The sequence below is a fragment of the Homo sapiens genome, chromosome 19 (genome assembly GCF_000001405.40).
Source record: "Homo sapiens chromosome 19, GRCh38.p14 Primary Assembly".
Taxonomy (NCBI): Eukaryota; Metazoa; Chordata; class Mammalia; order Primates; family Hominidae; genus Homo; species Homo sapiens.
In genome coordinates this window covers 48,720,301-48,747,997 of record NC_000019.10, presented here as the reverse complement: position 1 = coordinate 48,747,997, position 27,697 = coordinate 48,720,301, and the positions used below count along the sequence as shown (strand labels likewise).

The following is a 27,697-nucleotide window of genomic DNA, read 5'->3' as shown; positions in this document are numbered from 1 at the left end:
AGCTTTTTTGGAGCCAGAGCCACTGTGTATGTGTGTGTGGGTTTGTGTGTGTGTGTGTGTGTGTGTGTGTGTAAGAGAGTGGAGGAAAAGGTGGGGTACTTCTGAAGACTTTTATTTTTTTTTAATTAATTTATTTTTTTTCAGAGATCGAGTCTTGCTCTGTGGCCCAGGCTGGAGTGCAGTAGTGTGATCTCGGCCCACTGCAAACTCCCACCTCTCGGATTCTGGTGCCTCAGCCTCCCAAGTAGCTGGGACTACAGACGTTCGCCACCATGCCCAGCTAATTTTTGTATTTTTAGTAGAGACGGGGTTTCACCATGTTAGCCAGGCTGGCCTCGAACTCCTGACCTCAGACAATCTGCCCGCCTCGGCCTCCCAAAGCGCTGGAATTACAAGCGTGAGCCACCGCGCCGGGCCCTGAGGATTTTTATTACTCGTGATTGGGAGTACTGTCCCTACTTAGATCTGACAGCCCCTTGTTGCTGGACTTGTGTGAGTTGTGGTCCCTGTTTTTCTGGTTCCCTGTTTCTATCACACAGGAGAGAGAGACCTTCCAGGACCCTAACGTCTGAGCCCCCAGTTGCTCACTCCTGGACTGTCAGTATTGGCCCCCAGTCCTCTCCTCCCACTGGGACCTCCGCGTGGGCAGAAGAGGCGGAGGAGGGAGCGGATTATCACTGAACTACATTTCCCGGAAAGCTATGAGGTTGGCAGCGTCAGTCAGCTACAGAGAAAGAGGCCCCAGGGCATTTTGGGAGTTGTAGTCTTAGGGCTAAAATGTCCACTTCGTGGCTCGACAGCCGTTTCCAAGGACCGCGGTGGGGGCGGCAGCGGCCTGGGGGGCCGGATCTAGCCCAAAGCCTGGGTCCTGGGGCAAGGGGAGGGGAGGAAACTGAAGGCCTGAGTCCGGTCCTTGACTCTGGAAGCCAGAGTAGTCAGGAGGCTTCCTCTTCCCTAGATGCTGGGAAAATTCTAGTCCAAAAAGGCTGCAGCCTCTGTGACGTCATGGAGCGATGGGCGGGACCTCCCTTTGTTGCAGTCCAATCAGACAGAGTTGAGTTTCTGGGTGGGGCCGAGGAAAACCCCAAGGAATATCTATAAAGGAATTCGGGCCCCTACGTGAGAAGCTCGGAGGGGGTGGTTTCAGGAGTTCCTTGTGGAGAGGGGATCGTCCGTGACTCAGACCCCGTCGAAAAGCTCTCGATTTCACGCAACCAACCTTACCCTCGTCCCCAACACAATCCTTGATTTTACCCCTGGGAAAATTAGCGTAGGTGGTCATGACCCCGGCTTCCTCTTTAAAAGCCCTCAGAACCTGGACCGGGCTCCTCAATGAACCCTAGTGTTAGAGGCCACAAATCGGGAACCAAGGTCGGGGAGCGGCTGTTTAGGGTGCATCACTGTTCAGGATGCATCGGGGCTCCTTTTTCTAAGCGGAAGGGTGCGCCCTGCAAATTGGGAGCCCGTTAGTTTTGGGGAAGGGTGAACAAGGGCCCCCTAGGTCTAGAGGACCGCATGGAGTCTCGCTTAAGTGTTAGTGGGGTCCTCAGTTCTAGGAATCTGGTATGTGTTTTGGTTTTGAAGGAGTTCCGAGTTTGATAATATCGTGGTTGGGTCTGTGTTAGATGTTTATTGGTTTGGGCATTGAATCTTCAGCTTGAGGTTCAACAGGTTTTGGGGGGCTGGCGGGGGAGTGCCTCGGTGTTGCTCTTAAGGGTTGGAGTTCAGGCTCACGTCAATCTGGGGACTTGGAAAATTCCACAGTTTGGGATTTTGGGAAGGGGCGCATGGGGTTGGGAGATTCCAGGTTCTGAGTTTGGGGACTTATGAGTGATTCCTGTTTAATAGTTTTTCTGATCTCTCAGTTGGGGGATTCAGTGAGAACCCTAAATTTTGGGTCCCCTGGATTGGGGCTCAGTTTCACACTTCGGAGGCATTTGATGAAGGACATAGGTCCTCTTTATTTGGAGATTTCCTGAAGATCCTCTTTTCGAGGTTTGCGGACCCCATGGATAGGCGGCCCAGTGGGATTTCTTAAGATGGATTTTGGCTTTTCTCCGTTTAGCGTTCTCCTGCTCTCGGTTTGGGGTGAGAGCACCCTTCCTAACGGTCTTCGGGAACTGTGCGCGCCGGCTGCAATGGGGCCGCATTTTACCCTCCTGTGTGCGGCGCTGGCCGGTTGCTTGCTTCCTGCCGAGGGGTGTGTTATATGTGACCCGTCTGTCGTGCTGGCGCTAAAGTCCCTGGAGAAAGATTACCTGCCTGGCCACCTGGATGCGAAGCATCACAAAGCCATGATGGAAAGGGTAGAGAATGCCGTGAAGGATTTCCAGGAACTGTCGCTTAATGAGGATGCCTATATGGGGGTCGTTGGTGAGGGCAGGGGGGACCACGGACCCCTGGGTCCTGGGAAAGGAGGGAGATAAGACCAGGGGAAGGAAGAGGCTGACAGCAGGGTCTCCGGGATTCGGGAATGGAGAAGGCTGAGATGCAGATTCCGAGGTTCCCCGAGGCTAGTAAATACCGTTTTCCCTATCCTCGGCTGGCAATTTTATGTAATAAAACTACAACTCCCAGAAGGCAACGGGCGGCTGAGTCCTTAACCAGGCCTATCTTTGCCCAGTGGCCTCATGGGTATTGTAGTTTCTAAGATTAGGCGCGCCAATGAGACAGTAAGGCTGGAATCTGGGGTTATATCTCCTCTGACAGATGAGGCCACACTGCAAAAGGGGTCCTGGAGTTTGCTGAAGGATCTGAAACGCATCACAGACAGTGATGTAAAAGGTAAATGCATCAAGGGGGTGGGAGTCCCGAATCTCTCAGAGAAGCCAGCGTTAGTGATGCCTGGTCTCTTGGTCAGATACTAGGCTGTGGACCCAGACCGCCTAGATTCCAATGCCTGCTCTGCCACTTCCTAGCTGTACGGCCTTGAGCAAAGGACTTTGAAGCTCCCTTGGCTCTAAAATGCTTCCTCAGTTGTTCAGTTTAAATGTGTATTGCTGGCCGGGCACGGTAGCTCAGGCCTGTAATCCTGGCACTTTGGAAGGCTGAGGCAGGCAGATTACTTGAGCTCAGTAGTTCAAGACCAGCCTGGCCAACATGGTGAAACCTTGTCTCTACAAAAAATAGACATATGTATACATATTAGCTGGGCATGGTGGTGTGTGCCTGTAGTCCTAGCTACTTGGGGGGTTGAGGCGGGGGGATTGCTTGAGTCCAGGAGTTTGAGGCTTCAGTGAGCCACGATTACACCACACACTCCAGCCTGGGTGGCAGGGTAAGACCCTCCCCCATCCCCCAAAATATGCATTGCCTAGCCCAGCAGCTGGCATTATGTTAGACGGTCAGTTGTAGCGCCCTTTCCTGAGAAGGCCAGGAAGTAGACTGCCAGACTCTGCAGGCAGAAGTAAACTTCCAACACCTCACACGTGGGATTGGGGGTTCCTGTGTCTTCCCAGGCGATCTCTTCGTGAAGGAGCTATTTTGGATGTTGCACTTGCAAAAGGAAACCTTTGCCACCTATGTTGCTCGATTCCAAAAAGAGGGTGAGAGAAGATGGGAGTCGGTGTCCCCCAGCTCCTCTTTCCACTATCCAAGAGTCCTTGTCTCCAGCCCCTTACTTCTCCAAGCCCAGTTCCTCAGCTTCCCCAACTGCCTCCTCCTTCAGACCCAAGTCTTTTCTCCCTCGAACCCAAAAGCCCAAAGCCCAGCTCTTCCCCCAACCCCCTCTTCCATCGTCTTTCATTTAGAAATCTGACTCTGTCATCTCTTTCTTGCTCTCTTTTTTTCTCTTTTGACACAGCTTATTGTCCCAACAAATGTGGTGAGTCTGGATTACAGAAGTTAACCCTCATCCTGCCCTCTGAATAGTCAACCTCCCCACTCGCCTTTTTGGATCCTGGTGGTTTTGTCATTCTCTGCCTTGGAGAGGTTCCTGGGTCTCCAGTATTCTTTCTGCACCATGGATTTCTTGGGGAGCAGGTCATATTCTACTTACACTCTTTTTTTTGAGACAGTCTCACCCTGTCACCCAGGCTGGAGTGCAGTGGCACGATCACGGCTCACTGCAACCTCCACCTCCCAGGTTCAAACTATTCTCCTGCCTCAGCCCCCTGAGTAGCTGGGATTACAGGTGCCCGCCATCACACCCAGCTAATTTTTGTATTTTTAGCAGAGACGGGGTTTCACCATGTTGGTCAGGCTAGTCTTGAACTCCTGACCTTGTGATCCGCCCGCCTCGGCCTCCCAAAGTGCTGGGATTACAGGAGTAAGCCACCGCATCCGGCCTCTACTTACAATCTTTACTGAGCCTTGTTGGAGCCCACTTACTACTTACCTGCGTCCTGGTCCTGTGCCTTCGTCTGACCATCTAGGAATGTCATAGATGATCTGGCCCCAGCCCTTAGCCCTGACCTCTCCTTTTAGCCATGCCCCTTAGTGGGCAAATACAAGCCTTGACCCTGCCCCTCCAGGTGTGATGTTGCAAACTCTGATCTGGTGCAAGAACTGCAAAAAGGAGGTTCACGCTTGTCGAAAGTCCTACGATTGCGGGGGTGAGAGAACTGGACCCAGCAGGAGGAATTGGTGCAGGTGGGGTGGGGCGAGAGGAGAGGCAGTCTAGAGAGAGCCTAGATGGGGGTGTGGGGGCAGTAGACAAGAAAAGGTAGGGTTTAGGCCAGGTGCAGTGGTTCACACCTATAGTCTCGCACTTCGAGAGGCTGAGACGGGAGGATTGGGAAGCCAGGAGTTTGAGACCAGCCTGGGCAACATAGCGAGACTCTATCTCTACAAAAAAATTTAAAAATTAGTCAGGTGTGGTGTTGCGTTCCTGTAGTCCCAGCTACTTGGAAGGCTGAGGCAGGAGGATTGCTTGGACCCAGGAGTTGGAGACTGCAGTAAGCTATGATCATACCACTGCACTCCAGCCCAGGCAAAAGAGTGAGACCTTGTCTAAAAAGAAAAAAAAGAGGCCGGGCGCGCTGGCTCACGCCTGTAGTCCCAGCACTTTGGGAGGCCGAGGCAGGTGGATCACAAGGTCAGGAGTTCAAGACCAGCCTGGCCAAGATGGTGAAACCATCGTTTTTGTACTAAAAATACAAAAAAATTAGCCAGACATGGTGGTGGGCACCTGTAATCCCAGCTACTCAGGAGGCTGAAGCAGAGAATTGCTTGAACTCAGGAGGCGAAGGTTGTAGTGAGATAAGATCGCGCCACTGCACTCCAGCCTGGGTGACAGAGTGAGACTTCATCTAAAAAAAAAAAAAAAAAAAAAGAGAGAGAGAAAGAAAAGAGAAAAGACGAGGTTACAACAAATGTAAAGGATTAGGGGAGGGTAAAGAACCGTGAAGGAGGCCCGGCGCAGTGCCTCATGCCTGTAATCGCAGCACTTTGGGATGCTGAGGCAGGCAGATCACCTGAGGTCAGGAGTTCCAGACCAGCCTGTCCAATATGGTGAAACCCCATCTCTACTAAAAATACAAAAATTAGCCAGGCGTGGTGGCAAGCGCCTGTAGTCCCAGATACTCAGGAGGCTGAGGCAAGAGAATCGCTTGAACCCAGGAAGCGGAGGTTGCAGTGAGCCGAGATCGCGCCAATGCATTCCAGCCTGGGCGACAGAGCGAGTCTCCATCTCAAAAACAAAAACAAAAACAGAATCATGAGTGTCCCATGGTCATCCCCCACCCCCAGAGCGGAATGTGGAAGTTCCTCAAATGGAAGACATGATCCTGGACTGTGAGTTAAACTGGCATCAGGCTTCGGAAGGCCTCACTGATTACAGCTTTTACAGGGTGAGGGCCTCAACTTCTGTAACCCTTGAACTCCCTAGACTACAATACTTGTGTTCTGGATCTATGGGCCTGCACCCACGATTCTCATGACCCAGGAGGGTGGTCTATTAGGTGTGGTCTCTACAGACCTCTGGGGACCCCGTGCCCTGACCAGTGACACCCTGGACACTCACCTCCCACACTGAGGCCCTGTGATCTTCTCACCCCTGTACTCCCCCAACCCCTGAATTCCTCAGGCCTCAGTGACCCCTTGAGCTTGGGTCTAGGTTTGGGGGAACAATACGGAGACCTTGGTGTCCAAGGGGAAAGAGGCCACCCTGACCAAGCCCATGGTGGGTCCAGAGGATGCAGGCAGCTACCGCTGCGAGCTGGGCTCTGTGAATTCCAGCCCAGCCACGATCATCAATTTTCACGTCACAGGTCAGTGCTGTGGGGCTGAGAGAAGTGTAGGATTCAGGGCCCAGGAAAGCTGGGGTCCGCGGCGGGGGCGTGGCCTTGGCGATGGGGGCGTGACTTCCTGTTGGGTGTGGTTTCGGGGCACGGGGTGTGGCTTCCTGCCGGGGGCGTGGCCTCTGGCCCCGAGGACAGGGGTTCCCTTGGGTGTGTTCAGGCTTGACACTGTTGAAGGCGTGATTATCTCTGGGATGGCCGGCTACTGGGACGGGCTTGTCTTTGCCAGGGCAGGAACTCCACGCCCTGCCAGGACTGCTCTTTACGCTTTCTCTAACAGTGTTGCCCAAAATGATCAAGGAGGAAAAACCTTCTCCAAATATCGTAACCCCGGGGGAGGCGACCACGGAGTCGTCCATAAGCCTCCAGCCTCTGCAGCCCGAGAAAATGCTGGCAAGCCGCCTTCTGGGGCTGCTGATCTGCGGCTCCCTAGCACTGATAACCGGCCTTACCTTTGCGTAAGCAACCCATTGAAGAAGACAGGCTTGGCTTGGAGTAAGGGGCGGGGCTTCCAGGAACCCAACACAGAAGCTGGTCTGGGGGCTACTGAGGCCTGAGAGCAGGACTTTCCTGGGGATGGAGTGCGGGGGGCTTGAATAGGAGGACTTCGAAGGGCGAGGCTTAGGTAATTGCTAGAATAAGGTCACAAAGGGGGAGGTTGGGAGGGGTGTCCCCCACACAATTAGTACCCAAACCGGTTCCATGATCTGCACCCCACTCCCACCCCTAGGATATTTCGTCGAAGGAAGGTGATCGATTTCATCAAATCCTCACTGTTTGGCCTTGGCAGTGGAGCGGCCGAGCAAACCCAGGTCCCAAAAGAAAAGGCCACAGATTCGAGGCAACAATAAAGATTTATCTTGTTGTCTAAGCATCTGACTCACTCCCCGGGACGGGACTGATTCTAGCCTTTGGTTCCCCGAGAGGAGAGGTCTGGGGATGGGCTCCGGCCTGAGGGAGGAAGGGCAGAAAACCGGGACCCTTGGGTCCTGGAGGGGACCAACTGACTGCGATGTAATTCCAGAATCAAGGAATGGGGCAGGGCCAACCCTACCCAGATCTCCTCCCCCAGGCCTGGTCTCCTCACAGGACGCCCCCTCCCCGCTCTTCCTGCCGGGTTTCCTCTTGCCTTTTCCTGTCCCCCACCCAGTGCTGGGAGCCGTGGCAGAGGCAAGAGCAGTGGAACTGACCCAGGCCAGTGGAGCCAGGGCCTCCGGGTGTGCCGGACCCGAAGCAGGGTAAGAGCCAGGGACCCAGCAGCCCAAACCCCTCCTCCCTGGGCCCCAAGACTCAGTCCCCCAGCCATCTTCCATCCCAGGACCCAGGAATCCAGGGTACCATCCCTCTCCTCCCCCTGGACTCGCAAGTCTGAGCCCCAGCCCCCTCCTCCCTCTGACTCGGAGTCCAGGTTCCCTCCACCCCATCCCCACAAGAATGCCTTAGGAGTTGGGGCCTTACCCGCCTTCCCTTAGGGCCATGCTGTCTGGTGAACGGAAGGAGGGCGGAAGCCCCCGCTTCGGGAAGCTTCATCTCCCCGTGGGCCTGTGGATCAATTCCCCCAGGAAGCAGCTGGCGAAGCTGGGGCGGCGCTGGCCCAGCGCAGCCTCTGTCAAGTGAGTGCCATCTCTGCAGGACTCCTGCCCCTGCACACCTGCTTCCCATCTGTCCCTGTTCACTGCCCAGTCCCTGCAAAGTGTTGGCTCCGGTCCTCATCCTGAATTGGGCAAACGAGCTGGTGGGCAGGGGGAGACGGTGGGGCACAGTGATACCAGGGCGCGGTGGGAGTAAGAGCTAGGCTAGGAGGTGGAGTGAGGCCGGATGGGCACGGGGACGGGGACAGAAGGAGCAGGGGGATTGATTCACCTTCCTTCCTCCCCTCCCTGCTCACCTCTTGGAATTTCCTACTGTGGGACTTGCCTTTATTTATTTATTTTTTCTCTCTCTCTTTGCCTCGCGTCTGTCCCCACCCTCACCCCCGCCCCGTCCATCCACCCTGGGTCCCTGTCCTCCCTCTGGGTCTCTGCCCACTTCCCTCCTAATATGCCCCCACCCCCGTCTTGGCGTGTCGTCCTGGGTCTCTCTCCCGCGACTCTGTTCCCCGGCGGACTCCCAGGTCTTCTTCGTCGGACACGGGGAGCCGCAGCAGCGAGCCGCTACCTCCGCCCCCGCCGCACGTGGAGCTGCGGCGAGTGGGCGCTGTCAAGGCGGCCGGGGGAGCCTCCGGTAGCCGCGCCAAGCGCATCTCCCAGCTCTTCCGGGGCTCGGGGACCGGGACCACGGGGTCCAGCGGCGCAGGAGGCCCTGGGACCCCGGGGGGCGCGCAGCGCTGGGCCAGCGAGAAGAAGCTGCCGGAGCTGGCGGCGGGCGTGGCCCCCGAGCCCCCGCTGGCTACCCGCGCCACGGCGCCTCCGGGGGTCCTCAAGATCTTCGGCGCCGGACTGGCATCGGGCGCCAACTACAAGAGCGTGCTGGCCACGGCGCGCTCCACGGCGCGCGAGCTCGTGGCCGAGGCGCTAGAGCGCTACGGCCTAGCAGGCAGCCCCGGCGGTGGCCCCGGCGAGAGCAGCTGCGTGGACGCCTTCGCTTTGTGCGACGCTCTGGGCCGGCCCGCGGCGGCGGGCGTGGGAAGCGGCGAGTGGCGGGCGGAGCACCTGCGCGTGCTGGGCGACTCCGAGCGCCCGCTGCTGGTGCAGGAGCTGTGGCGGGCGCGGCCCGGCTGGGCGCGGCGCTTCGAGTTGCGCGGCCGCGAGGAGGCGCGGCGCCTGGAGCAGGAGGCCTTCGGGGCCGCGGACAGCGAAGGTGAGCGGCGGGCGGGGCTCTGGGGCGGGGACTCGGTGCCAGAGAGGCGGGGTCCGTGGGGCGGGGCCTGGGCGGGGCTTGTGGGACTCGCGGGCTGGCTGGGGGCGGGGCCCGCGGGAGGGGACTGGGAGGGGACTGGACGGTGCGTGTTGGACTCTAGGCAGAGCTAGAGCAGGGCCGGGGGCGGCCAGATGGGCGGGCCTGAGAGTTGGGTGGGGCTTGTTGATTGAGCAGGAGTTTTACAGGGGCCAAGCTTGGGGCTTAGGCGGGACGGGGGCTGGTTGCTGGTGGTGGCTTGGAGTGGCCTGAAGTGGCTCCGAATTGGGGTTAGGGCCTTCTGCAGGCATTTCAGACTGCCTTGGAGGAGGTGGGGTGTGTAGCGGGGTCTGCGGAGTAGTAGATCCTGAGGAGCGTTTGTGGAGTCCAGTGGAATGGGCAGGAGTCCGCAGGGGCCTAAGGGATTCGCCCTGTGTGGTAGGTTAGAGGACACTAGCAATTTGCTGATCTTTGAAAGTTCCTTTCTCTAACCAATCCCCACTTTCTGGTAAGGTTTCTGCGAGGTCTGTTAGGTGTACATCCTGCAGCTTAATGGCTTAAACTGTACTCTCCTTTGATGTGGTCTCTTGGGGCCAATTAGGAGAAAGAGAAATCAATAGTGCAACTGTTTTGATACTGAATATTGACAAGGGTCTTTTTGAATTAAAGAACTAGTCCTGGCCGGGCGTGGTGGCTCACGCCTGTAATCCCAGCACTTTGAGAGGCTGAGGCGGGCGGATCACCTGAGGTTGGGAGTTCGAGACCAGTCTGGCCAACATGGTGAAATCCTGTCTCTTCTAAAAATACAAAAATTAGCCGAGCGTGGTGACGCATGCCTGTAATCCCAGCTACTCGGGAGGCCGAGACATGAGAATAATTTGAACCCAGGAGGCAGAGGCTGCAGTGAGCCAAGATCGCGCCACTGAACTCCAGCCTGGGGGACAGAGCGAGACTTCGTCTCGAAAAAACAAACAAACAAACAAACAAAAAACTGTCCTCCAGAAAAAGAAAAAGGAATTGGAGACCTAGGAGCCGGAAGAGTAAGCACGGACAATGTTCTTGGGAGCGATGCAGAGCAGATGGGCGGGGCATGTTGTGGGGCGGGGCCTGTGGTGGGGCGGGGCTTGTGGAAAAGCGTGGTCTGGGGCAAAAACTGTTGGGTCCCGCGAGGAGTGGTGGCATGTGGTGAGCATGGGTCTCTGTGGTAGGAGGCAGCTCTGCCAAGTAGGTTGAGGTGGCTACTGAGCAGGGCCTATGTGGGTGGAGTATAGAAGGGGGCGACACCTGCAGAGTGAGTGAATACAGGTTCCTAGATCAGGCCTGCTGGGACTAAGATGGGCGGAGCCGCTGAGGGGCCGGCCTTGGATAAGACGGCCTTAGGCTGGGTTGGCTGCCAAGTGGGATCACATGGGAAAGGAAGGGGCTGAAGGAAGATATCACTGTAGAGGCGAAGGAAGGCCTGGAACAGAAGGTAGAGTCAATGGTCAAACAGCTGGTGGTGGACCGCGCCTGGCAGGGGTGGGGCCTGGCGCATTGAAAGCACGGGTCTGCTCAGGGAGCCTTCTAAACGCTTTTCTGTATCTGAGCTTCCTTTTGGGAGATAGAATGTTGTAGCAATTCAACTGATGGGCTTTGAACTGGGGTTTGAATTCCAACCCATTCTGTGCCAGTTAATCTCAGTAAAATCCTAGGTGAGGATTCAATGGGATAATATATTCAATGTATATAAAGGGCCTAGCACAGGGCTTGGCACAGAGTAGGTGCTTAATAAAGAATGACGATTATAAGCATTGTCTCCGCCACCCCCTCGACAAAGTATCCATTGAGCACCTGGTGTAGGCCACACATTTTCCTTTTTGTTTTTTTGTTGTTGTTGTCGTTGTTGTTCGAGATGGAGTCTTGCTCTGTTGCCCAGGCTGGAGTGCAGTGGCACGATCATGGCTCACTGCGACCTCCACCTCCCGGTTCAAGCAATTCTCCTGCCTCAGCCTCCCGAATAGCTGGGATTACAGGTGCCCACTACCACGCCTGGCTGATTTTTTGTATTTTGAGTAGAGATGGGGGTTTCGCCATGTTGGTCAGGCTGGTCTCGAATTCCTGACCTCAAGTGATCCACCCACCTCAGCCTCCCAAAGTACTGGGATTACAGGCGTGAGCCACCGCGCCCAGCCTGGCCACACAGTTTTCGGGGCACTGGGGAATACAGTGGGGACGTTGACAGATGAGGTTTCCACCCTCCCATATCTCACAAGCCTAGTGGGAAACACATCAGTCCATTCATTCAGCTCATTTCCCCTTGGTGCCTACTGTGTGCCAGGGTTCCAGCTGGGTCCAGAAAAAGCTCAGAGTACCCAGTGGTGCAGTCACCTGCTTCAACTTGGACTGTCAGGGAAGGGTGTTTAGGAAGAGGTGGTTTCAATCTCCTGGAGGGCAGGGTCTTCTCTGTTATCCAGTGACTTGAACAGTTCTAAGCATGTAGTAGGTAGTCAATAAATACTTGTTTTGTTTTGTTTTGTTTTTTGAGACGGAGTCTTGCTCTGTCGCCCAGGCTAGAGTGCAGTGGCACGATCTCGGCTCACTGCAAGCTCCGCCTCCCGGGTTCACGCCATTCTCCTGCCTCAGCCTCCCGAGTAGCTGGGACTACAGGCACCTGCCACATTTTTTGTATTTTTAGTAGAGACGGGGTTTCACCGTGTTAGCCAAGATGGTCTCGATCTCCTGACCTTGTGATCCGCCCGCCTCAGCCTCCCAAAGTGCTGGGATTACACGCGTGAGCCACCGCACCCGGCCTAAATACTTGTTAAAAGAACAAATGGGCTGGGCGCTGTGGCTCATGCCTGTAATCCCAGCACTTTGGGAGGCTGAGACGGGAGGATCACAAGGTCAGGAGTTCGAGACCGACCAGTCCGAGACCAGCCTGGCCAACATGGTGAAAACCCATCTATACTAAAAATACAAAAATTAACCGGGCGTTGTGGTGCGCGCCTGTAATCCCAGCTACTTGGGAGGCTGAGGCAGGAGAATTGCTTGAACCTGGGAGGCAGAGGTTGCAGTGAGCCGAGATCGTGCCACTGCACTCCAGCCTGGGCGACAGAGCGAGACTACGTATTGAAATAAAAAAAAAAAAAAAGAAGAACAAATGATTCAATGGAAAAGAATGAATGAAATTCCTGAGCTGAAAACTGCAAGATGGGTATTAATCAGGACAGAAAGGTGTTCCACGCACAGGGAACAGAATATGCAAAAGCCTAAATCCTAAATGTGGGAAGCAGCCTCACCTCTCTGCAACCAGTTCTTTGTCTCATAATCTGCAGCTCTGTGTCTATCCCTGTCTTTCCAGGCTCAGCCTCACTGTTCTCCATCTCTCCGCAGGCACCGGCGCCCCTTCGTGGCGGCCACAGAAGAACCGCTCCCGGGCGGCGTCGGGTGGGGCAGCGCTGGCCAGTCCTGGCCCGGGGACCGGATCAGGGGCCCCAGCTGGGTCTGGAGGCAAGGAGCGCTCAGAAAACTTGTCTTTGCGGCGCAGCGTGTCGGAGCTTAGCCTTCAGGGGCGGCGGCGGCGGCAGCAGGAGCGGAGACAGCAGGCACTTAGCATGGCCCCAGGGGCAGCCGACGCCCAAATCGGAACTGCAGACCCCGGGGACTTCGATCAGTTGACTCAGTGCCTCATCCAGGCCCCCAGCAACCGCCCCTACTTCCTGCTGCTCCAGGGCTACCAGGACGCCCAGGTAACCGCCGCCCCAGCCCCGCACGCCCAGAGCCCTATACCCCATCTGTTGGTGGGTGAGCAACAAAACTACAACTCCCAGAAGGCCCGGGGCGCGCTAGCCTCAAGTACTCTAGTGGGGCGTGGTCCCTCAAGGTTCCAGAGTAGAGATTCACAGGAGAGGGAGAGTAGATGGCTGAGAAAGAGTCCAATGGAGGAGGAAATAGGGAATAGTTCACTTTATTCAAAGTTGGAGGAAAGCACTGTCTTCATTAAGGAGATTCCATTGTAGAAAGAAGATCCCCGCCAGGCGTGCGGCTGACTCTCATAATCCCAGCACTTTGGGAGGTCAAGGTGGAAGAATTGCTTGAGGCCAAAAGTTCGAGACCAGCCTGGACAACATAGTGAGATCCTGTCTCTACCAAAAATTAGGCCTGGCGCAGTGGCTCACGCCTGTTATCCCAGCACTTTGGGAGGCCTTGGTGGGTGGATCACCTGAGGTTGGGAGTTCAAGACCAACCTGACCAACATGGAGAAACCCTGTATGTACTAAAAATACAAAATTAGCCGGGTGTGGTGGCGCACGCCTGTAATCCCAGCTACTCAGGAGGCTGAGGCAGGGGAATCGTTTGAACCCGGAAGGCAGAGGTTGCGGTGAGCCAAGATCGTTCCATTGCACTCCAGCCAGGGAGACAGAGCAAGACTCTGTCTCAAAAAAAAAAAAAAAGAAAGAAAAAAAAGCCGGGCGTGGTGGTGTGCACCTGTGGTCCCAGCTACTCGGGAGACTGAGGCAGGAGGATCTCTTGAGCTCAGGAGGTCGAGGCTTCCGTGAGCTATGATGGCACCACTGTACCATCACCAGCCTGGGTGACACACAAAGGCCCTGTCTCCAAAATAAATTTTTTTAATAAACTTTTTTTTTTTTGTCGGAGTCTCTCTCTGTCGCCCAGGCTGGACTCCAGTGGCGCGATCTCGGCTCACTGCAAGCTCTGTCTCCTGGGTTCACGCCATTCTCCTGCCTCAGCCTCCCGAGTAGCTGGGACTACAGGCGCCCGCCACCATGCCCAGCTAATTTTTTTGTATTTTTAGTAGAGATGAGGTTTCACCGTTTAGCCAGGATGGTCTCAATCTCTTGACCTCGTGATCCGCCCGCCTCGGCCTCCCAAAGTGCTGGGATTACTGGCGTAAGCCACTGTGCCCGGCCTAAAAAAATTTTTTAATGAAAAATTTTTTAAAAGAAAGATCCCCTTGGAAATATCTATTTCTTGAATCTATTTCTTGAGAGGGAGTAACAGGGGAGTCCACCTTCTAGGGCAGGGAAGTCATTTGTTGCCTGGGATCACGTTCTGGATAAGCCTGTGTTTTCTTCGTAGGAGTGCACTGCCCCCTCCCCCCCACACTTTTTTTTTTTTGAGATGGATTCTCAGTCTGTCACCCAGCCGGACTGCAGTGGTGCGATCTTGGCTCACTACAACCTCTGCCTCCCAGGTTCAAGCAATTCTCCTGCCTCGGCCTCCTGAGTAGCTGGGATTATAGGCGCCTGCCATGATGCCCAGCTAAATTTTGCATTTTTAGTAGAGACAGGGTGTCGCCATGTTGGCCAGGCTGGTCTCTGAACTCCTGACCTCAAGTGATCCACCTGCCTTGGCCTCCCAAAGTGCTGGGATTACAGGCGTGAGCCACCGCTCCCGGCCAGCACTGACCCATTTTTAGAAGGTGATGCTTTACATTGGAACAATTTGACCACTATTGATGGAGGCAGGTGGTATTGATCCTTCTATCTATTTTACATAGCTGGGTACCAACAGAACTTGATTGGTACAAAAGAGGAAGAAAGGATTGGTGGTTGAGGATCAGTGGGAAGTTACTGCACTAATAGAAATGTAACATGTTGTCTGGGCACAGTGGCTCACTCCTGTAATCCCAGCACTTTGGGAAGCCAAAGCAGGAGTAACACTTGAGACCAGAAGTTTGGGACCAGCCTGGGCAACAGTGAAATCTTGTCTCTACAAAAAAGGACAAGAAATTACCCAGATGTAGTGGCACCTATCTGTAGTCTCAGCTACCCAGGAGGCTGAGGCAGGAGAATCCCCTGAGCCCAGGGAGGTCTAGGCTGCAGTAAGCTGTGATCACACCACTGCACTCCAGGAGGGAGAGTGAGTAATGTGTTATTGGAAATATTCATTTATGTGCAGTGATCGGGTGAATTATCCTTATGGTGTGGCCAACTGATGGTTAACAATGGTACAGCCAAGCTAAACAAGTACAGCTGGGACCAATGGCAAAACCTTGTCTCTATAAAAAATGAAAAACAAAAAGAAGGTGGTGTAGCTTATTCGACAGTTCCATTTTTACGGTCACAGAAAGATCCAATTGGGTTAGGCAGCTTGACTGTGTATATGGGTGAGAAGGTAAGACTCTCTTCAGGAAAGAGCTTGTATGGAAGAATTCATTCCTCCTTGTGGGGGCAAGGAGATGGGGAGAGCTCACTGTAGTAAGAGGATTGCATATATTATAACAGCCATTCCTCTGGACAAGGCTGGAGAACACGAAGGTCTCTTTTGGGAAGGTGGTCAAATTGGAAGGACATATTCTTCCAGGTGGCAGTTCAAAGTAAGCCTGGGCAACATAGTGAGACCTCATCTGTATAAAAAACGGAAAACAGGCTGGGCGCGGTGGCTCATGCCTGTAATCTCAGCACTTTGGGAGGCTGAGGCAGGCGGATCACGAGGTCATGAGATCGAGACCATCCTGGCTAACACGGTGAAACCCTATGTCTACTAAAAATATAAAAATTAGCTGGGCGTGGTGGCGGGCACGTGTAGTCCCAGCTACTCAAGAGGCTAAGGCAGGAGAATGGCGGGAACCTGGGAGGCGGAGCTTGTAGTGAGCCGAGATCGCGCCACTGCACTCCAGCCTGGGCAACAGAGAGAGACTCCGTCTTAAAAAAAAAAAAAAGAAAAACAGAAACAAAAATTAGCCAGGTGTGGTGGTGTATGCCTGTCATTCTAGCTACTTGAGAGGCTGAGGTAGGAGGATCACTTGAGCCCAGGAGGTGGAGTCTGCAAGTCTGCAGTGAACCAAGATAATGCCACTGCACTCCAGTCTGATGACAGAGTGAGAGACCCTGTCTCAAAAAAGAAAAAAAAAAAAGAGATTAAAAAAAAAAGGTTTCATTTGAATTGTTCATTCCTTGGAGGCAGGAATACCAGGTGAATCTATTGTAGGAATTCATTTGGTTTGCCGATTCATGGAGTGGCTGTGAAGTGAAAGTTCACTGTAGGTGCCAAGAAAGCATCCCTTCCTGGGTTAGGGAGCAGGAGAGCCCATTGTAGAAAGGGGGCTTTTATTTTGGGTCATCCCATTCCTTCAGACAGGAATGAAGAACAGGAGAGTCTACCTTCAGAAGGTGGTAAGACTGGAAAGACCCATTTTTCTACAAGGGTAGATGAGCAAATCTTTTGGAGGTAGGAGTCTTTTTGGAAACACCCATTCATGGGGTAGGGGTAATGGTAGAATTTAGTGTAGAAGGGGGATCTATGCATATCAAGATGCCTGTTGTCTCAGACATGGTTGGCGAATGGAAGGGGGTCAGATTGAGTGGTTCTACATTTATGGAATGGAGATGAGAGTCCATTTTTTAGGACGAGGTCTTCTGGAATGCCTGTCTTCATTTGATAAATGAGATGGAACACTCCATGGTAAGAGGTTGTCCGTGAAGGCATTTATTTATCCGTGGAATGACCAGAAGAGCCCACTGTATGGAGATCTTTTTGGAGATGTCCTTTTTGGGGATTGGAATATTGAGAACGTCCATTGATGGAAGGGGGGTTATCTCTTTGAAATCCTCCGTTGGGGGAGTGGGAGTAATAGGTGAGTCCATTGTAGGAGTCCATTGTAGGAATATTGAGAACATCCATTGATGGAAGGGGGATTATCTCTTTGAAATCCTCTGTTAGGGGGGTGGGAATAATAGGTGAGTCCATTGCAGGACTTAACTCCTGCAACCTCCACCTCCCAGGTTCAAGCGATTTTCCCGCCTCAGCCTCCCGAGTAGCTGGGATTATAGGCATGAGCCACCTCACCTGGCTAATTTTGTATTTTTAGTAGAGAGAGGGTTTCTCCACGTTGGTCAGGCTGGTCTCGAACTCCCTACCTCAGGTGATCTGCCGGCCTTGGTCTCCACTGCGCCCGGCCTCTTTTTTTTGAGTCTCACTCTGTTGCCCAGGCTGGAGTGCAGTAGCCTGATCTTGGCTCATTGCAACCTCTGCCTCCTGGGTTCAAGCGATTCTTGTGCCTCAGCCTCCCAAGTAGCTGGGACTACAGTCATGCGCCACCATGCCTGGCTAATTTTTGTATTTTTAGTAGAGACAGGTTTCACCGTGTCTGGTCTTGAACTCTTGACCTCAGGTGATTCACCTGCCTCGGCCTCCCAAAGTGCTGGGATTGCAGGTGTCAGCCACTATGCCCAGTCCAAGGGAATCTCTTTAAAAGTACCCATTCATTGCTTGAGGAATATTGAGAAAAACTATTATTGGAAGGGGAAATATATCTGGAAGCCTTTACCATGGTGGGGTGGGGGTGAAATAATGGACAGGTGGGACCAGGGATGGGGAAAAGGAGATTTCCTTGGAAAGGTCCATTCTTTGAGGGTGAGGGTAGTTGCACAGTTCATTTTAGAAATAGGGATCTCCTTGAAAGCATCTAATGCTTGAGGGAAAGAAATGGTAGAGCCCATGTTAAGAAATGGGTCTCTGGCTGGGTGTGGTGGCTCACACCTGTAATCCCAGCACTTTAGGAGGCCAAGGCAGGCGGATCACAAGGTCAAGAGATCGAGACCATCCTGGCCAACATGGTGACCCTGTCCCTACTAAAAATACAAAAATTAGCTGGGCGTGATGGTGCGCGCCTGTAGTCTCAACTACTCGGGAGGTTGAGGCAGGGGAATCGCTTGAACCCGGGAGGCGGAGGTTGGAGTGAGCCGAGATCGTGCCACTGCACTCCAGCCTGGCAACAGAGCGTGACTCTGTCTCAAAGAAAAAAAGGGGGGTCTCCTTGTACATAGCCGGTCTTCGGGATGGGTGTTATGGGACCATCCACCATACAAAGTGCCTGGGAAGAGTCCACTCAGTGGCGTTGCGGGTGCTTAGAGAGTCCTTTGAGATCCAGATCTCCTTGGAGTGTCTATTCAAAGTCGGTGGGGGGCCGGGCGCGATAGTTCACGCCTGTAATCCCAGCACTTCGGGAGGCCGAGGTAGGTGGATCACCTGAGATCAGGAGTTTAAGACCAGCCTGGCCAACATGGTGAAACCCTTTCCCTACTAAAAATACAAAAATTAGCCGGGTGTGGTGGCAGGCGCCTGTACTCCCAGCTACTCAACAGACTGAGGCAGGAGAATTGCTTGAACTCAGGAGGCAGAGGTTGCAGTGAGCCGAGATCGTGCCACTGGACTCCAGCCTGGAGGACAGAGCGAGACTCCATCTCAAAAAAAAAAAAAAAAAAAAAAAGAAGAAGAAGGAAAAAAAAAGTTGGTGGGAATAGAAAAGTTGTTGTAGAAAACAGAGAGAACAGATCTGAAGATATGGATTGAAGTGATGTCCTTAGTGCATCCTCGTTTCCCCTCCAGGACTTTGTGGTGTATGTGATGACGCGAGAGCAGCACGTGTTTGGGCGAGGTGGGAACTCGTCTGGCCGCGGGGGGTCCCCGGCTCCCTATGTGGACACCTTCCTCAACGCCCCGGACATCCTGCCGCGTCACTGCACAGTGCGCGCGGGCCCTGAGCACCCGGCCATGGTGCGCCCGTCCCGGGGCGCCCCAGTCACGCACAACGGGTGCCTCCTGCTGCGGGAGGCTGAGCTGCACCCGGGCGACCTCCTGGGGCTGGGCGAGCACTTCCTGTTCATGTACAAGGACCCCCGCACTGGGGGCTCGGGGCCTGCGAGGCCGCCGTGGCTGCCCGCGCGCCCCGGGGCCACGCCGCCAGGCCCTGGCTGGGCCTTCTCCTGTCGCCTGTGCGGCCGCGGCCTGCAGGAGCGCGGCGAGGCACTGGCCGCCTACCTGGACGGCCGTGAGCCAGTCCTGCGCTTCCGGCCGCGCGAGGAGGAGGCGCTGCTGGGCGAGATCGTGCGCGCCGCAGCCGCCGGCTCGGGAGACCTGCCGCCCCTCGGGCCCGCCACGCTGCTGGCGCTGTGCGTGCAGCATTCCGCCCGTGAGCTGGAGCTGGGCCACCTGCCACGACTGCTGGGCCGCCTGGCCCGGCTCATCAAGGAGGCCGTCTGGGTGAGCGCCCCCCAATCGCCGTCCAGCCCCACCAGCGCCCCAAGTCCCTTCTCCAGCCTCCCTTCCCTACCTTCAACCCTTTTCATAGCTGGGCTGGATACTACTGTTCCCATGACGCCTCGGGAAGGATTTGGGGTTTTGGGTTTTGTTTGTTTGTTTGTTTGCTTTTGTTTTTGAGACGGAGTCTCGCTCTGTTACCCAGGCTGGAGTGCAGTGGCGGTCTTGGTTCACTGCAACCTCTACCTCCGGGGTTCAAATGATTCTTCTGCCTCAGCCTCCCGAGTAGCTGGGATTGCAGGCGCCTGCCAGCACGCCCGGCTAATTTTTTGTATTTTTAGTAAGACGGGGTTTCACCATATTGGCCAGGCTTGTCTGGAACTCCTGACCTCGTGGTTCGCCCGCCTCGGCCTCCCAAAGTGCTGGGATTACAGGTGTGAGCCACCACACCCGGTGTTTTGGGGTTATTAAGCAAGGGGCCCCCCCATAGAATGCTGGGAGATGTAGATCCACTGCACTTAGAGGGAAGCCCAAACTCACCTTAGGAGAGCTCACCTAAGCACGAACTCACCTTAGGAAGAAACCATTATGGGAGATGGTGGGGGAGAGATCCCACTGGATGAGAAGTTGACAGAGATCAGTGTGAGAATTCACCGCAGCCCATTGGGCTTGGAGCTTGGATAGCAGTGAGCGAGTTCATTCTTGGAGGCGAGGAAGCACAAATCCACTGGACCTACAGATGGAAGTTCCAGAAAGAAACCATTCAGAGTGGGGGAAACGTTCCATCCTATTGAGCTAGGGCCTAACCAGAGAGGTTTAAGGAGTTTCTTGGGGGTAAAAATTGGAGAAGAGGACCTGAAGGAGCTAGATCACTCATAATCATAGGGTGTGTATGTTTTAAAAAGTAAGGAGAGACCATTCTAAAGCTTGTGGGATTAGAATTTGTCTCAAGAGCCAGGCGTGGTGGCTCATGCCTGTAATCCCGGCACTTTGGGAGGCCGAGGCGGGCAGATCACCTGAAGTCGGGAGATCGAGACCATCCTGGCTAACATGGTGAAACCCCGTCTCTACTAAAAATGCAAAAAATTAGCCGGGCATGGTAGCACATGCCTGTAATCCCAGCTACTTGGGAGGCTGAGGCAGGAGAATCACTTGAACCTGGGAGGCAGAGGTTGCAGTGAGCCAAAATTGAGCCATTGCACCCCAGCCTGGGCAACAACAGGGTAACTCCATCTCAAAAAAAAAAAAAAAAAAAAAGAATCCGTATGAAGAGTGAAGGCCGGTTGCAGTGGCTCATGCCTGTAATCCTAGTTCTTTGGGAGGCCAAGGTGGGAGGATCATTTGAGCTCAGGAGTTGGAGACCACCGGTGGCAACATAGTAAGACCCCATCTCTAAGAAAAGTAGGACCAGTCTCTATGAGAGTTGTGCTTCTATAAAAACCAGGGTATTAACTCTTAAGCCCCTCAGTGGATCCCCCTCACCTTGATTCTGATCTTACTGTTCCACAGGAAAAGATTAAGGAAATTGGAGACCGTCAGCCAGAAAAGTAAGAGAAATTCTGAGCAGAGTGGTCTGGAGGGATGCAGGGGTTGGGTTTTGCGTCTAGTTCTGTGTTCACCCCATGCATGCCCCAGTGCAAGTTTCTGCTTCTCCTTGCGCTCAACTTTTCCAGCTGCGCAATGGGAGTTGGTCTTGCTCTCCCACTTAGACTTAGATCTTGGGGTTTGTAAACTATGATGAGGGTTGGGCAGGGATCACAAATTCCTTCCTCTTTTTCAAGCCACCCTGAGGGGGTCCCCGAGGTGCCCCTGACTCCTGAAGCTGTGTCTGTGGAGCTGCGGCCACTCATGCTGTGGATGGCCAACACCACGGAGCTGCTTAGCTTTGTGCAGGAGAAGGTGCTGGAAATGGAGAAGGAGGCTGACCAAGAGGGTGAGCTCTGACTCAGGCTCAGGCTTGTCCAAGTCTCCCATCATGCCCTGCACCTGGGGACCTGGGCTCCTGGCTGCCGACTTCTGGTTCTCCCTCTTAACCCCAAGCCTGTCCTCAGACCCACAGCTCTGCAATGACTTGGAATTATGTGATGAGGCCATGGCCCTCCTGGATGAGGTCATCATGTGTACCTTCCAGCAGTCTGTCTACTACCTCACCAAGGTTGGCCCTTGCCTCTTACTTCCTGTTTGACATAGCATCACTTCCTGTTTCACGTAATATCACTTCCTGTTTGTGGTAACATCACTTCTTGTTTGAACTACACTGTGTGGCTCTGATGTCACTATTTGACTCAAGATTTTCTGCTTTTCTCTGACATGACATCCCATCTCACCCAAGGACTTTGCTGTTCTGACACCACTTGTTAGAGCTTACATCACTTCCTGCCTTTCTGGCTTCTTTTCCTTTGTAATCATCACCTGGGCAAACGCGGTGGCTCACATCTGTAATCCCGGCACTTTGGGAGGTCAAGGCGGGTGGATCACTTGAGGTCAGGAGTTTGAGAGCAGCCTGGCCAACATGGTGAAACCCCATCTCTACTAAAAATACAAAATTAGCCAGGCATGGTGGCCTGCGCCTATAATCCCAGCTATTGGAGAGGCTGAGGCACAAGAATCACTTGAACCTGGGAGGCGGATGTTGCAGTGAACCAAGATTACTTCATGCCACTGCATTCCAACCCGGGAGATGGAGCGAGACTCTGTCTCAAAAGAGTAATATAACGCCGGATGCAGTGGCTCACGCCTGTAATCCCAGCACTTTGGGAGGCCAAGGTGGGCAGACCGCGAGGTCAGGAGTTTGAGACCAGACTGACCAACATGGTAAAACCCCGTCTCTACTAAAAATACAAAAATTAGCTGGGTATGGTAGCGCGTGCCTGCAATCCCAGCTACTCAGGAGGCTGAGGGAGGAGAATCGCTTGAACCCGGGAGGCGGAGGTTGCAGTGAGCTGAAATCGCACCATTGCACTCCAGGGCGACAGAGACAGACTCCATCTCAAAAAAGTAAAATAAAATTAAACGAAATAAAAAAAAAAGTAATCATCACCACTTTTGACAGGCTGACCTCACTACTTGGTAACATCACCATTACCACCTTCTGAATCTCCCACTTTCTAAGTCTACTCTTCAGTCACTGTTAAGTTTCATATATAATAGATAGATAAATGATTGATAGATAGCTAGAGATCAAATAGTGCCAGGAACTGTGATTTAAACTGAAGATCCTCTTTCATCAGGCCCCACTTCCTTCGCTTGCTGACCTCACTTCCTACAGCTCTGAATTCACTTCCCTTTCAGAACGACAGATCTTTTTCTCTGAGTGCCCTTCCTGGAAGGGCCTGCTTTCTGCCCCAGTTTCCCCCCCATTACCCTTGACCTTAACACCACTTCTTGGCATTCTCAGGGTTTCTGGCTTATGGTGGGCTTGATGCCCTATGTGCAAGAATGAGAGAGGATCTTTTGGGACAGCTAACTATCAGTCTCTAAGTTCCTCTAGCAGCCTGGATTGTGAAGCCCTTTCCTCCTTCACTTCCTGTACATTCCTGCCAAGTGTGCGTTTATTTCTTCTGTTTCTGACCTCATTTCCTGTCCTTGGCCTGATCTCATTTTCCACTGGCAAACTGCCATCCCACTCCCACTTCCTGACTCTCCATTCTTTTTCTTTCCTTTGGGAATTCAGGATGAATAATTCTTTGACTGAAAGGGAACTCTTTGTCCAGTATCCTTTGTCCTCCTTGAGCTGTCTCTGCTGAGAACTACAAGTCCCACAATGCACAAGAGGTGATCTTAAAATACTCGAGAAACTTGTATACCCTTCTATCAAGTAGGGATTTGCTCACGGAGACCCTTTGGGTGTTGACTGTAGAATGGACTACAACTCCCAGAAGACTTTGGTGGAGCTCCCCACTATCTTCATGCTCTATTACCCTGAAGCTTCCTGGGAGTTGTAGTCCAATCACTTGTTTCCACTTCTCTATTTTCTCAGACTCTCTATTCAACGCTGCCTGCTCTCCTGGATAGTAACCCTTTCACAGCTGGTGCAGAGCTGCCGGGGCCTGGCGCGGAGCTGGGGGCCATGCCTCCAGGATTGAGACCTACCCTGGGCGTGTTCCAGGCAGCCTTGGAGCTGACCAGCCAGTGCGAGCTGCACCCTGACCTCGTGTCTCAGACTTTTGGCTACTTGTTCTTCTTCTCCAACGCATCCCTTCTCAACTCGCTGATGGAACGAGGTGAAGGTTGGCTGGGAGCTGTCAGGGAGGCAAAGACAGGAGCCACTGAGACTCAGGTCATATTAGACACACCACGGGCTCAAGCCTCACCTTTGGGTACCCTGGAGAACAAGCTCCAGATCCCAGGCTGAAGGATAGGAAGAGTCTGGGAGGCAGGAGCACAGAGTCCAGCCAACCAACTGCCTCTCATACCTTTAACACCCACAGGTCAAGGCCGGCCTTTCTATCAATGGTCCCGAGCTGTTCAAATCCGAACCAACCTGGACCTCGTCTTGGACTGGCTACAGGGAGCTGGGCTGGGCGACATTGCCACTGAGTTCTTCCGGAAACTCTCCATGGCTGTGAACCTGCTCTGTGTGCCCCGCACTTCCCTGCTCAAGGTGACTCCTGGTCAGCTATACCTGACCCCTGACCTCTGACTCCTCAACCCCCCTCAGCCACCTTCTATATTCAGCTCACCGTCAGAGCTCCCCTTGAACCCCATGCCATCCCCAGCCCCAGCTCAGACACTGTGGGTAACACATTGGCAGGTAGAAGGAAGCCAGCACCAACAATGACTAAACTCGGCTGTGTCTGAATCCTGGTGGAACTTATTAAAAATAGTTTCCAGGCCAGGAGCAGTGGCTCGCGCCTATAATCCCAACACTTTGGGAGGCCTAAGTAGGTGGATCACTTGAGGCCAGGAGTTTGAGACCAGCCTGGCCAACATGGCGAAACGCTGTCTCTACTAAAAATACAAAAATTAGCCAGGCTTGATGGCGCACGCCTGTAATCCCAGTTACTCTGGAGGCTGAGGGAGGAGAATCGCTGGAACCTGGGAGGCAGAAGCTGCAGTGAGCCAAGATTGCACCATTGCACTCCAGCCGGGGCGACAGAGCGAGACCCTGTCTCCAGAAAAAAAAAAAAAAAAAAAGTTTCCAGGGTCCCTCACTCAGACATGCTGAGTCAGAAAGTGTGGTATGAGACAAAGGAACATGATGATTAAAACATTCATTGAACATGAACTACCTGCCAGGCACCCTGTTTAGCACTTCTAGTTTAATGCTGACAAAGCCCCATCGAAGTAGGTGACTGACTGTTTTTTGGATGAGGAAACAGAATCAGGTAGGACAGGTCGCTTGATTTCACTTATTTTTCCTTTTTTTTTTTTTTTTTTTGAGACGGAGTCTCACTCTGTCACCCAGGCTGGAGTGCAATGGCATGATCTCGGCTCACTCCAACCTCCGCCTCCCGAGTTCAAGCGATTCTCCTGCCACAGCCTCCTGAGTAGCCGGGATAACAGGCACGCGCCACCACACCCGGCTAATTTTTGTAATTTTGGTAGAGACAGGGTTTCACCTTGTTGGGCAGACTGGTCTTGAACTCCTGACCTCAGGGGATGCGCCTGCCTCGGCCTCCCAAAGTGCTGGGATTACAGGCGTGAGCCACCATGGCCGGCCAATTTCAATTATTTATTTTCCTTTCTTCTTAAATATCTTACAAAAACTGTTCCCCATAGACATTTATTTATTTATATCAAATGTTTATAATGGGCTGGGCGTAGTGGCTAATGCCTGTAATGCCAGCATTTTGGGAGGCCGAGGTGGAAGGACCGCTTGAGCCCAGGAGTTTGACACCAGTTGGCAACATAGGGGAGACACCATCTCTACCAAAAATTTTAAAAATTAGCCAGGTGTGGAGGCACACGTCTGTGGTCCCAGCCACTCCAGAAGCAGAGGTGGAAGGACTGCTTGAGCCCAGGAGGTTGAGGCTGCAGTGAGCCACAGTCATGCCACTGTACTCCAGCATGGGTGACAAAGCAAGACCCTGTCTCAAAACAATAAGAAAGAAAGTTTACCATGCATTTAATAAGCCCCAGGCAGTGTTCCAAGTACTTTACAATTTTGCCATATTGCATCCTCATACCAACTCTATTAGATAGTTCCTGTTCTCCAAATTTATGGATGAGGAGACTAGGGGACGGTGACCTGCCGGAAGGTAATAAGTGACCCACCTGGGATTTTTGAACTCAGGCAGTCTAGGTGGAGTCTCTGATGTTAAGCACATTGATGGTTCTGACGTCAGCTACATCAGGTGTAGACATTGTCAAACAGATATAGAGTGGCCGCCATAGAATAATGAATCCCAACTGGGCGCAGTGGCTCATGCCTGTAATCCTAGAACTTTGAGAAGCTTGAGACCAGCCTGGGCAGCATAGTGAGATCCCATCTCTACAAAAACTTAACCAGGTGTGGTGGCGTGTGCCTGTAGTCCCAGCTACTCTGGAGGCTGGGGCCAAGGATCACTTGAGCCCAGGATCACTTGAGCCGGGAGTTTGAGGCTGCAGCAAGCCACGATCGAGCCACTGCACTCCAGCCTGGGCGACGGAGTGAGACCCTGTCTCTTTAAGGACAAAAAAAAAAAAAAAAAAAAAAAATCCCCAAGTACCATCGCCAGATTCAATAATATAAACGAATGGCCAATCTTATTTATTTCCACCCTACTCATTTCCTGTATCCTCAATTATCCTGAGGCACATCACATTTTTACAAATTGCTGGGAGCACACCCTTCCCCACCATCACTTTGGTGATAAACAGACTTCACAGTGCCCAGAAGACACTGCAGAGATGCCATTATCTTCCCACCACACCCACTCCCCTTATGGAAGCCCTTCCATTTCATTTCTTAACTGCCCCGTAATGACCATCAACCTCTCACCTGGTCTTCCCACCAGGCTTCATGGAGCAGCCTAAGAACCGACCACCCCACCTTGACCCCCGCCCAGCTGCACCATCTGCTCAGCCACTATCAGCTGGGCCCTGGCCGCGGGCCGCCAGCCGCGTGGGACCCTCCCCCTGCAGAGCGGGAGGCTGTGGACACAGGTGAGGAGCAATGGGATACAGCATTGGGGCTGTCAGCTTTCTTCTTCTTTTGAGACGGAGTCTCGCCCTGTCACTCAGGCTGGAGTGCAATGGCGCGATCTTGGCTCACTGCAACCTCTGCCTCCCGGGTTCAAGCGATTCTCCTGCCTCAGCCTCCCGAGTAGCTGGGATTACAGGCATGCGCCACCACGCCTGGCTAATTTTTTGTATCTTTAGTAGAGACGGGGGTTTCACCGTGTTGGCCAGGCTGGTCTCGAACTCCTGACCTCGTGATCCGCCCGCCTCGGCCTCCCAAAGTGCTGGGATTACAGGCGTGAACCACCTCACCTTTCTTCTTTTCTCAGGATCTTGGAGTCCAGATCCCCAGTCTCCTTCTAACCCCAGATTCTGGACCCCTGTCCCTCCCCACCAGGACATAAGTGCAGGACCCAGCCCCTTCCCCCGTCAAGATACAGGAGTTCAAGCCCCCAGCTCCCTTTATTCTCTGGGGTTCGCATCCCTAGTCCATTCCCTCCACCAGCCACCCACCCACCACCCCTAGGAGTCCAGGTCTCGGGACTTTCACTCCCCTGAACTTGACTCCTCCACCTTTAGGAATCTGTAAGGCAAGTTCCCAGCCCTTTCTCGGGGATTTGGGAAGCCGTTTCCCAGGCAACGGTGGCCTTCCATCGTCTGAACTACAACTTCCATCATGCCCAGGGGCTCCTAGAGTAGCGTGTGAACGGACCCCGCCCCAGGAGTTGCTGGGGTTTGTAGTTTTTTTCTTCCTTTGGGTGTGACGCAGCCTCGGCTCTTCCCGATGCAACTACCTCACTCCCACTTTCAGACTCTAACCGCGCCGCCTTCGGCCTCACAGGGGACATCTTCGAAAGCTTCTCCTCGCACCCGCCCCTCATCCTCCCCCTGGGGAGCTCGCGCCTGCGCCTCACTGGTCCAGTGACGGACGATGCCTTGCACCGTGAACTCCGTAGGCTCCGCCGCCTCCTCTGGGATCTTGAGCAGCAGGAGCTGCCAGCCAATTATCGCCATGGGCCTCCCGTGGCCACGTCTCCTTGAGAACCAATACCAAACGAGCGCGCGAACCTTGAAATGTCACGGGCTTCTACGGACAGGAGCCCGCCTGAGCGCAAAGCTTTCTGGGAGTTGTAGTTCTTATCCCGCGTGGAATGTTGGGAGATTGAGTTTTCGGGAAGTAGCGGATGGGACGGTGGGAGCATGGGCTTAGGATGTGAATGCCAGGGAGCAATAAAGGTATCCGTGGTATCGGCAGCGCCTCGATTGTTAAGACTCAGGGGCGCTAATGATGATTTTCTGCAGAACAAGGTTGCAGGGCCCTTGTCTGGGCCCCTGCCGAGTCTGAGGAGGTATTTATAGCCACGGCCTTGGCTCGCCCTTTTGCATGTAATCCAACCCAAGAGCAGAGGAGCCTCCCACACCCCTCAGAACACGGCCCTAAGCTTGCTCTGCCGATTATAAGGCCCTCAGTCCTGCCAGTGGGAACCAGCGATTCTCCCTTCGACACCCCCCCAAATCCATACTCCAGCCCCCTCCTC

At 53.6% G+C, this 27,697-nt stretch overlaps 2 protein-coding genes and 1 long non-coding RNA gene across 6 annotated transcripts, besides 10 other annotated features; 2 read left to right on the top strand and 1 right to left on the bottom strand.

Annotated features, from left to right (window-relative positions):
* Positions 23-808: an enhancer, noted in NCBI's record as "H3K27ac-H3K4me1 hESC enhancer chr19:49250447-49251232 (GRCh37/hg19 assembly coordinates)". NCBI's record gives its function as "activates a minimal SCP1, AML or CMV promoter by ChIP-STARR-seq in naive H9 embryonic stem cells {active_cell/tissue: H9 hESC(naive)}" and the evidence as "EXISTENCE:reporter gene assay evidence [ECO:0000049][PMID:30033119]".
* Positions 809-1,594: an enhancer, noted in NCBI's record as "H3K27ac-H3K4me1 hESC enhancer chr19:49249661-49250446 (GRCh37/hg19 assembly coordinates)". NCBI's record gives its function as "activates a minimal SCP1, AML or CMV promoter by ChIP-STARR-seq in naive H9 embryonic stem cells {active_cell/tissue: H9 hESC(naive)}" and the evidence as "EXISTENCE:reporter gene assay evidence [ECO:0000049][PMID:30033119]".
* IZUMO1 (izumo sperm-oocyte fusion 1) lies at positions 1,089-7,146 on the top strand. 4 transcript variants are annotated; one of them, NM_182575.3, is made up of 10 exons: positions 1,089-1,563; positions 2,066-2,373; positions 2,710-2,784; positions 3,459-3,545; positions 3,803-3,823; positions 4,473-4,553; positions 5,689-5,789; positions 6,056-6,209; positions 6,520-6,697; positions 6,970-7,146. In NM_182575.3, exons 2-10 carry the CDS (start codon positions 2,139-2,141, stop codon positions 7,088-7,090), a joined length of 1,053 nt encoding a protein of 350 aa, NP_872381.2. In that variant the 5' UTR covers positions 1,089-1,563; positions 2,066-2,138; the 3' UTR covers positions 7,091-7,146. The 4 variants fall into 4 exon arrangements, 3 of the variants coding, with proteins under 3 accessions (NP_872381.2, NP_001308793.1, NP_001308794.1); NM_001321864.1 differs by lacking the exon at positions 2,066-2,373 and having other exon boundaries at positions 1,089-1,270; positions 6,970-7,110; NR_135832.1 differs by lacking the exon at positions 1,089-1,563 and having other exon boundaries at positions 2,066-2,306; positions 6,026-6,209; positions 6,970-7,110.
* Positions 2,370-2,890: a transcriptional cis regulatory region, noted in NCBI's record as "promoter|chr19:49248365-49248885 region (GRCh37/hg19 assembly coordinates) targeted for CRISPR interference". NCBI's record gives its function as "positively regulates FUT1 gene expression in K562 cells {active_cell/tissue: K562}" and the evidence as "EXISTENCE:mutant phenotype evidence [ECO:0000015][PMID:31784727]".
* Positions 6,110-7,535: a transcriptional cis regulatory region, noted in NCBI's record as "promoter|chr19:49243720-49245145 region (GRCh37/hg19 assembly coordinates) targeted for CRISPR interference". NCBI's record gives its function as "positively regulates FUT1 gene expression in K562 cells {active_cell/tissue: K562}" and the evidence as "EXISTENCE:mutant phenotype evidence [ECO:0000015][PMID:31784727]".
* Positions 7,388-27,413, top strand: RASIP1 (Ras interacting protein 1). The gene is made up of 12 exons (NM_017805.3): positions 7,388-7,477; positions 7,712-7,852; positions 8,353-9,038; positions 12,447-12,802; positions 18,408-19,061; positions 20,568-20,605; positions 20,840-20,991; positions 21,110-21,213; positions 23,038-23,281; positions 23,489-23,661; positions 25,997-26,144; positions 27,001-27,413. The coding sequence occupies exons 2-12, from the start codon at positions 7,716-7,718 to the stop codon at positions 27,198-27,200; spliced, it is 2,892 nt and encodes a 963-aa protein (NP_060275.2). The 5' UTR covers positions 7,388-7,477; positions 7,712-7,715; the 3' UTR covers positions 27,201-27,413.
* Positions 8,596-9,135: an enhancer, noted in NCBI's record as "H3K27ac-H3K4me1 hESC enhancer chr19:49242120-49242659 (GRCh37/hg19 assembly coordinates)". NCBI's record gives its function as "activates a minimal SCP1, AML or CMV promoter by ChIP-STARR-seq in naive and primed H9 embryonic stem cells {active_cell/tissue: H9 hESC(naive and primed)}" and the evidence as "EXISTENCE:reporter gene assay evidence [ECO:0000049][PMID:30033119]".
* Positions 8,596-9,172: a biological region, named in NCBI's record as "H3K27ac-H3K4me1 hESC enhancer GRCh37_chr19:49242120-49242659".
* Positions 8,653-9,172: a silencer, noted in NCBI's record as "silent region_10900". NCBI's record gives its function as "represses an Ori minimal core promoter by ATAC-STARR-seq in GM12878 lymphoblastoid cells {active_cell/tissue: GM12878}" and the evidence as "EXISTENCE:reporter gene assay evidence [ECO:0000049][PMID:35858748]".
* LOC124904737 (uncharacterized) lies at positions 16,483-19,854 on the bottom strand. The gene is made up of 2 exons (XR_007067286.1): positions 19,630-19,854; positions 16,483-16,732 (listed from the first exon to the last, which is right to left on the bottom strand). It is a non-coding gene; the product is annotated as an uncharacterized LOC124904737 (long non-coding RNA).
* Positions 26,687-27,632: an enhancer, noted in NCBI's record as "H3K27ac-H3K4me1 hESC enhancer chr19:49223623-49224568 (GRCh37/hg19 assembly coordinates)". NCBI's record gives its function as "activates a minimal SCP1, AML or CMV promoter by ChIP-STARR-seq in primed H9 embryonic stem cells {active_cell/tissue: H9 hESC(primed)}" and the evidence as "EXISTENCE:reporter gene assay evidence [ECO:0000049][PMID:30033119]".
* Positions 26,933-26,982: an enhancer, noted in NCBI's record as "active region_14905". NCBI's record gives its function as "activates an Ori minimal core promoter by ATAC-STARR-seq in GM12878 lymphoblastoid cells {active_cell/tissue: GM12878}" and the evidence as "EXISTENCE:reporter gene assay evidence [ECO:0000049][PMID:35858748]".
* Positions 26,950-27,490: a transcriptional cis regulatory region, noted in NCBI's record as "genic|chr19:49223765-49224305 region (GRCh37/hg19 assembly coordinates) targeted for CRISPR interference". NCBI's record gives its function as "positively regulates FUT1 gene expression in K562 cells {active_cell/tissue: K562}" and the evidence as "EXISTENCE:mutant phenotype evidence [ECO:0000015][PMID:31784727]".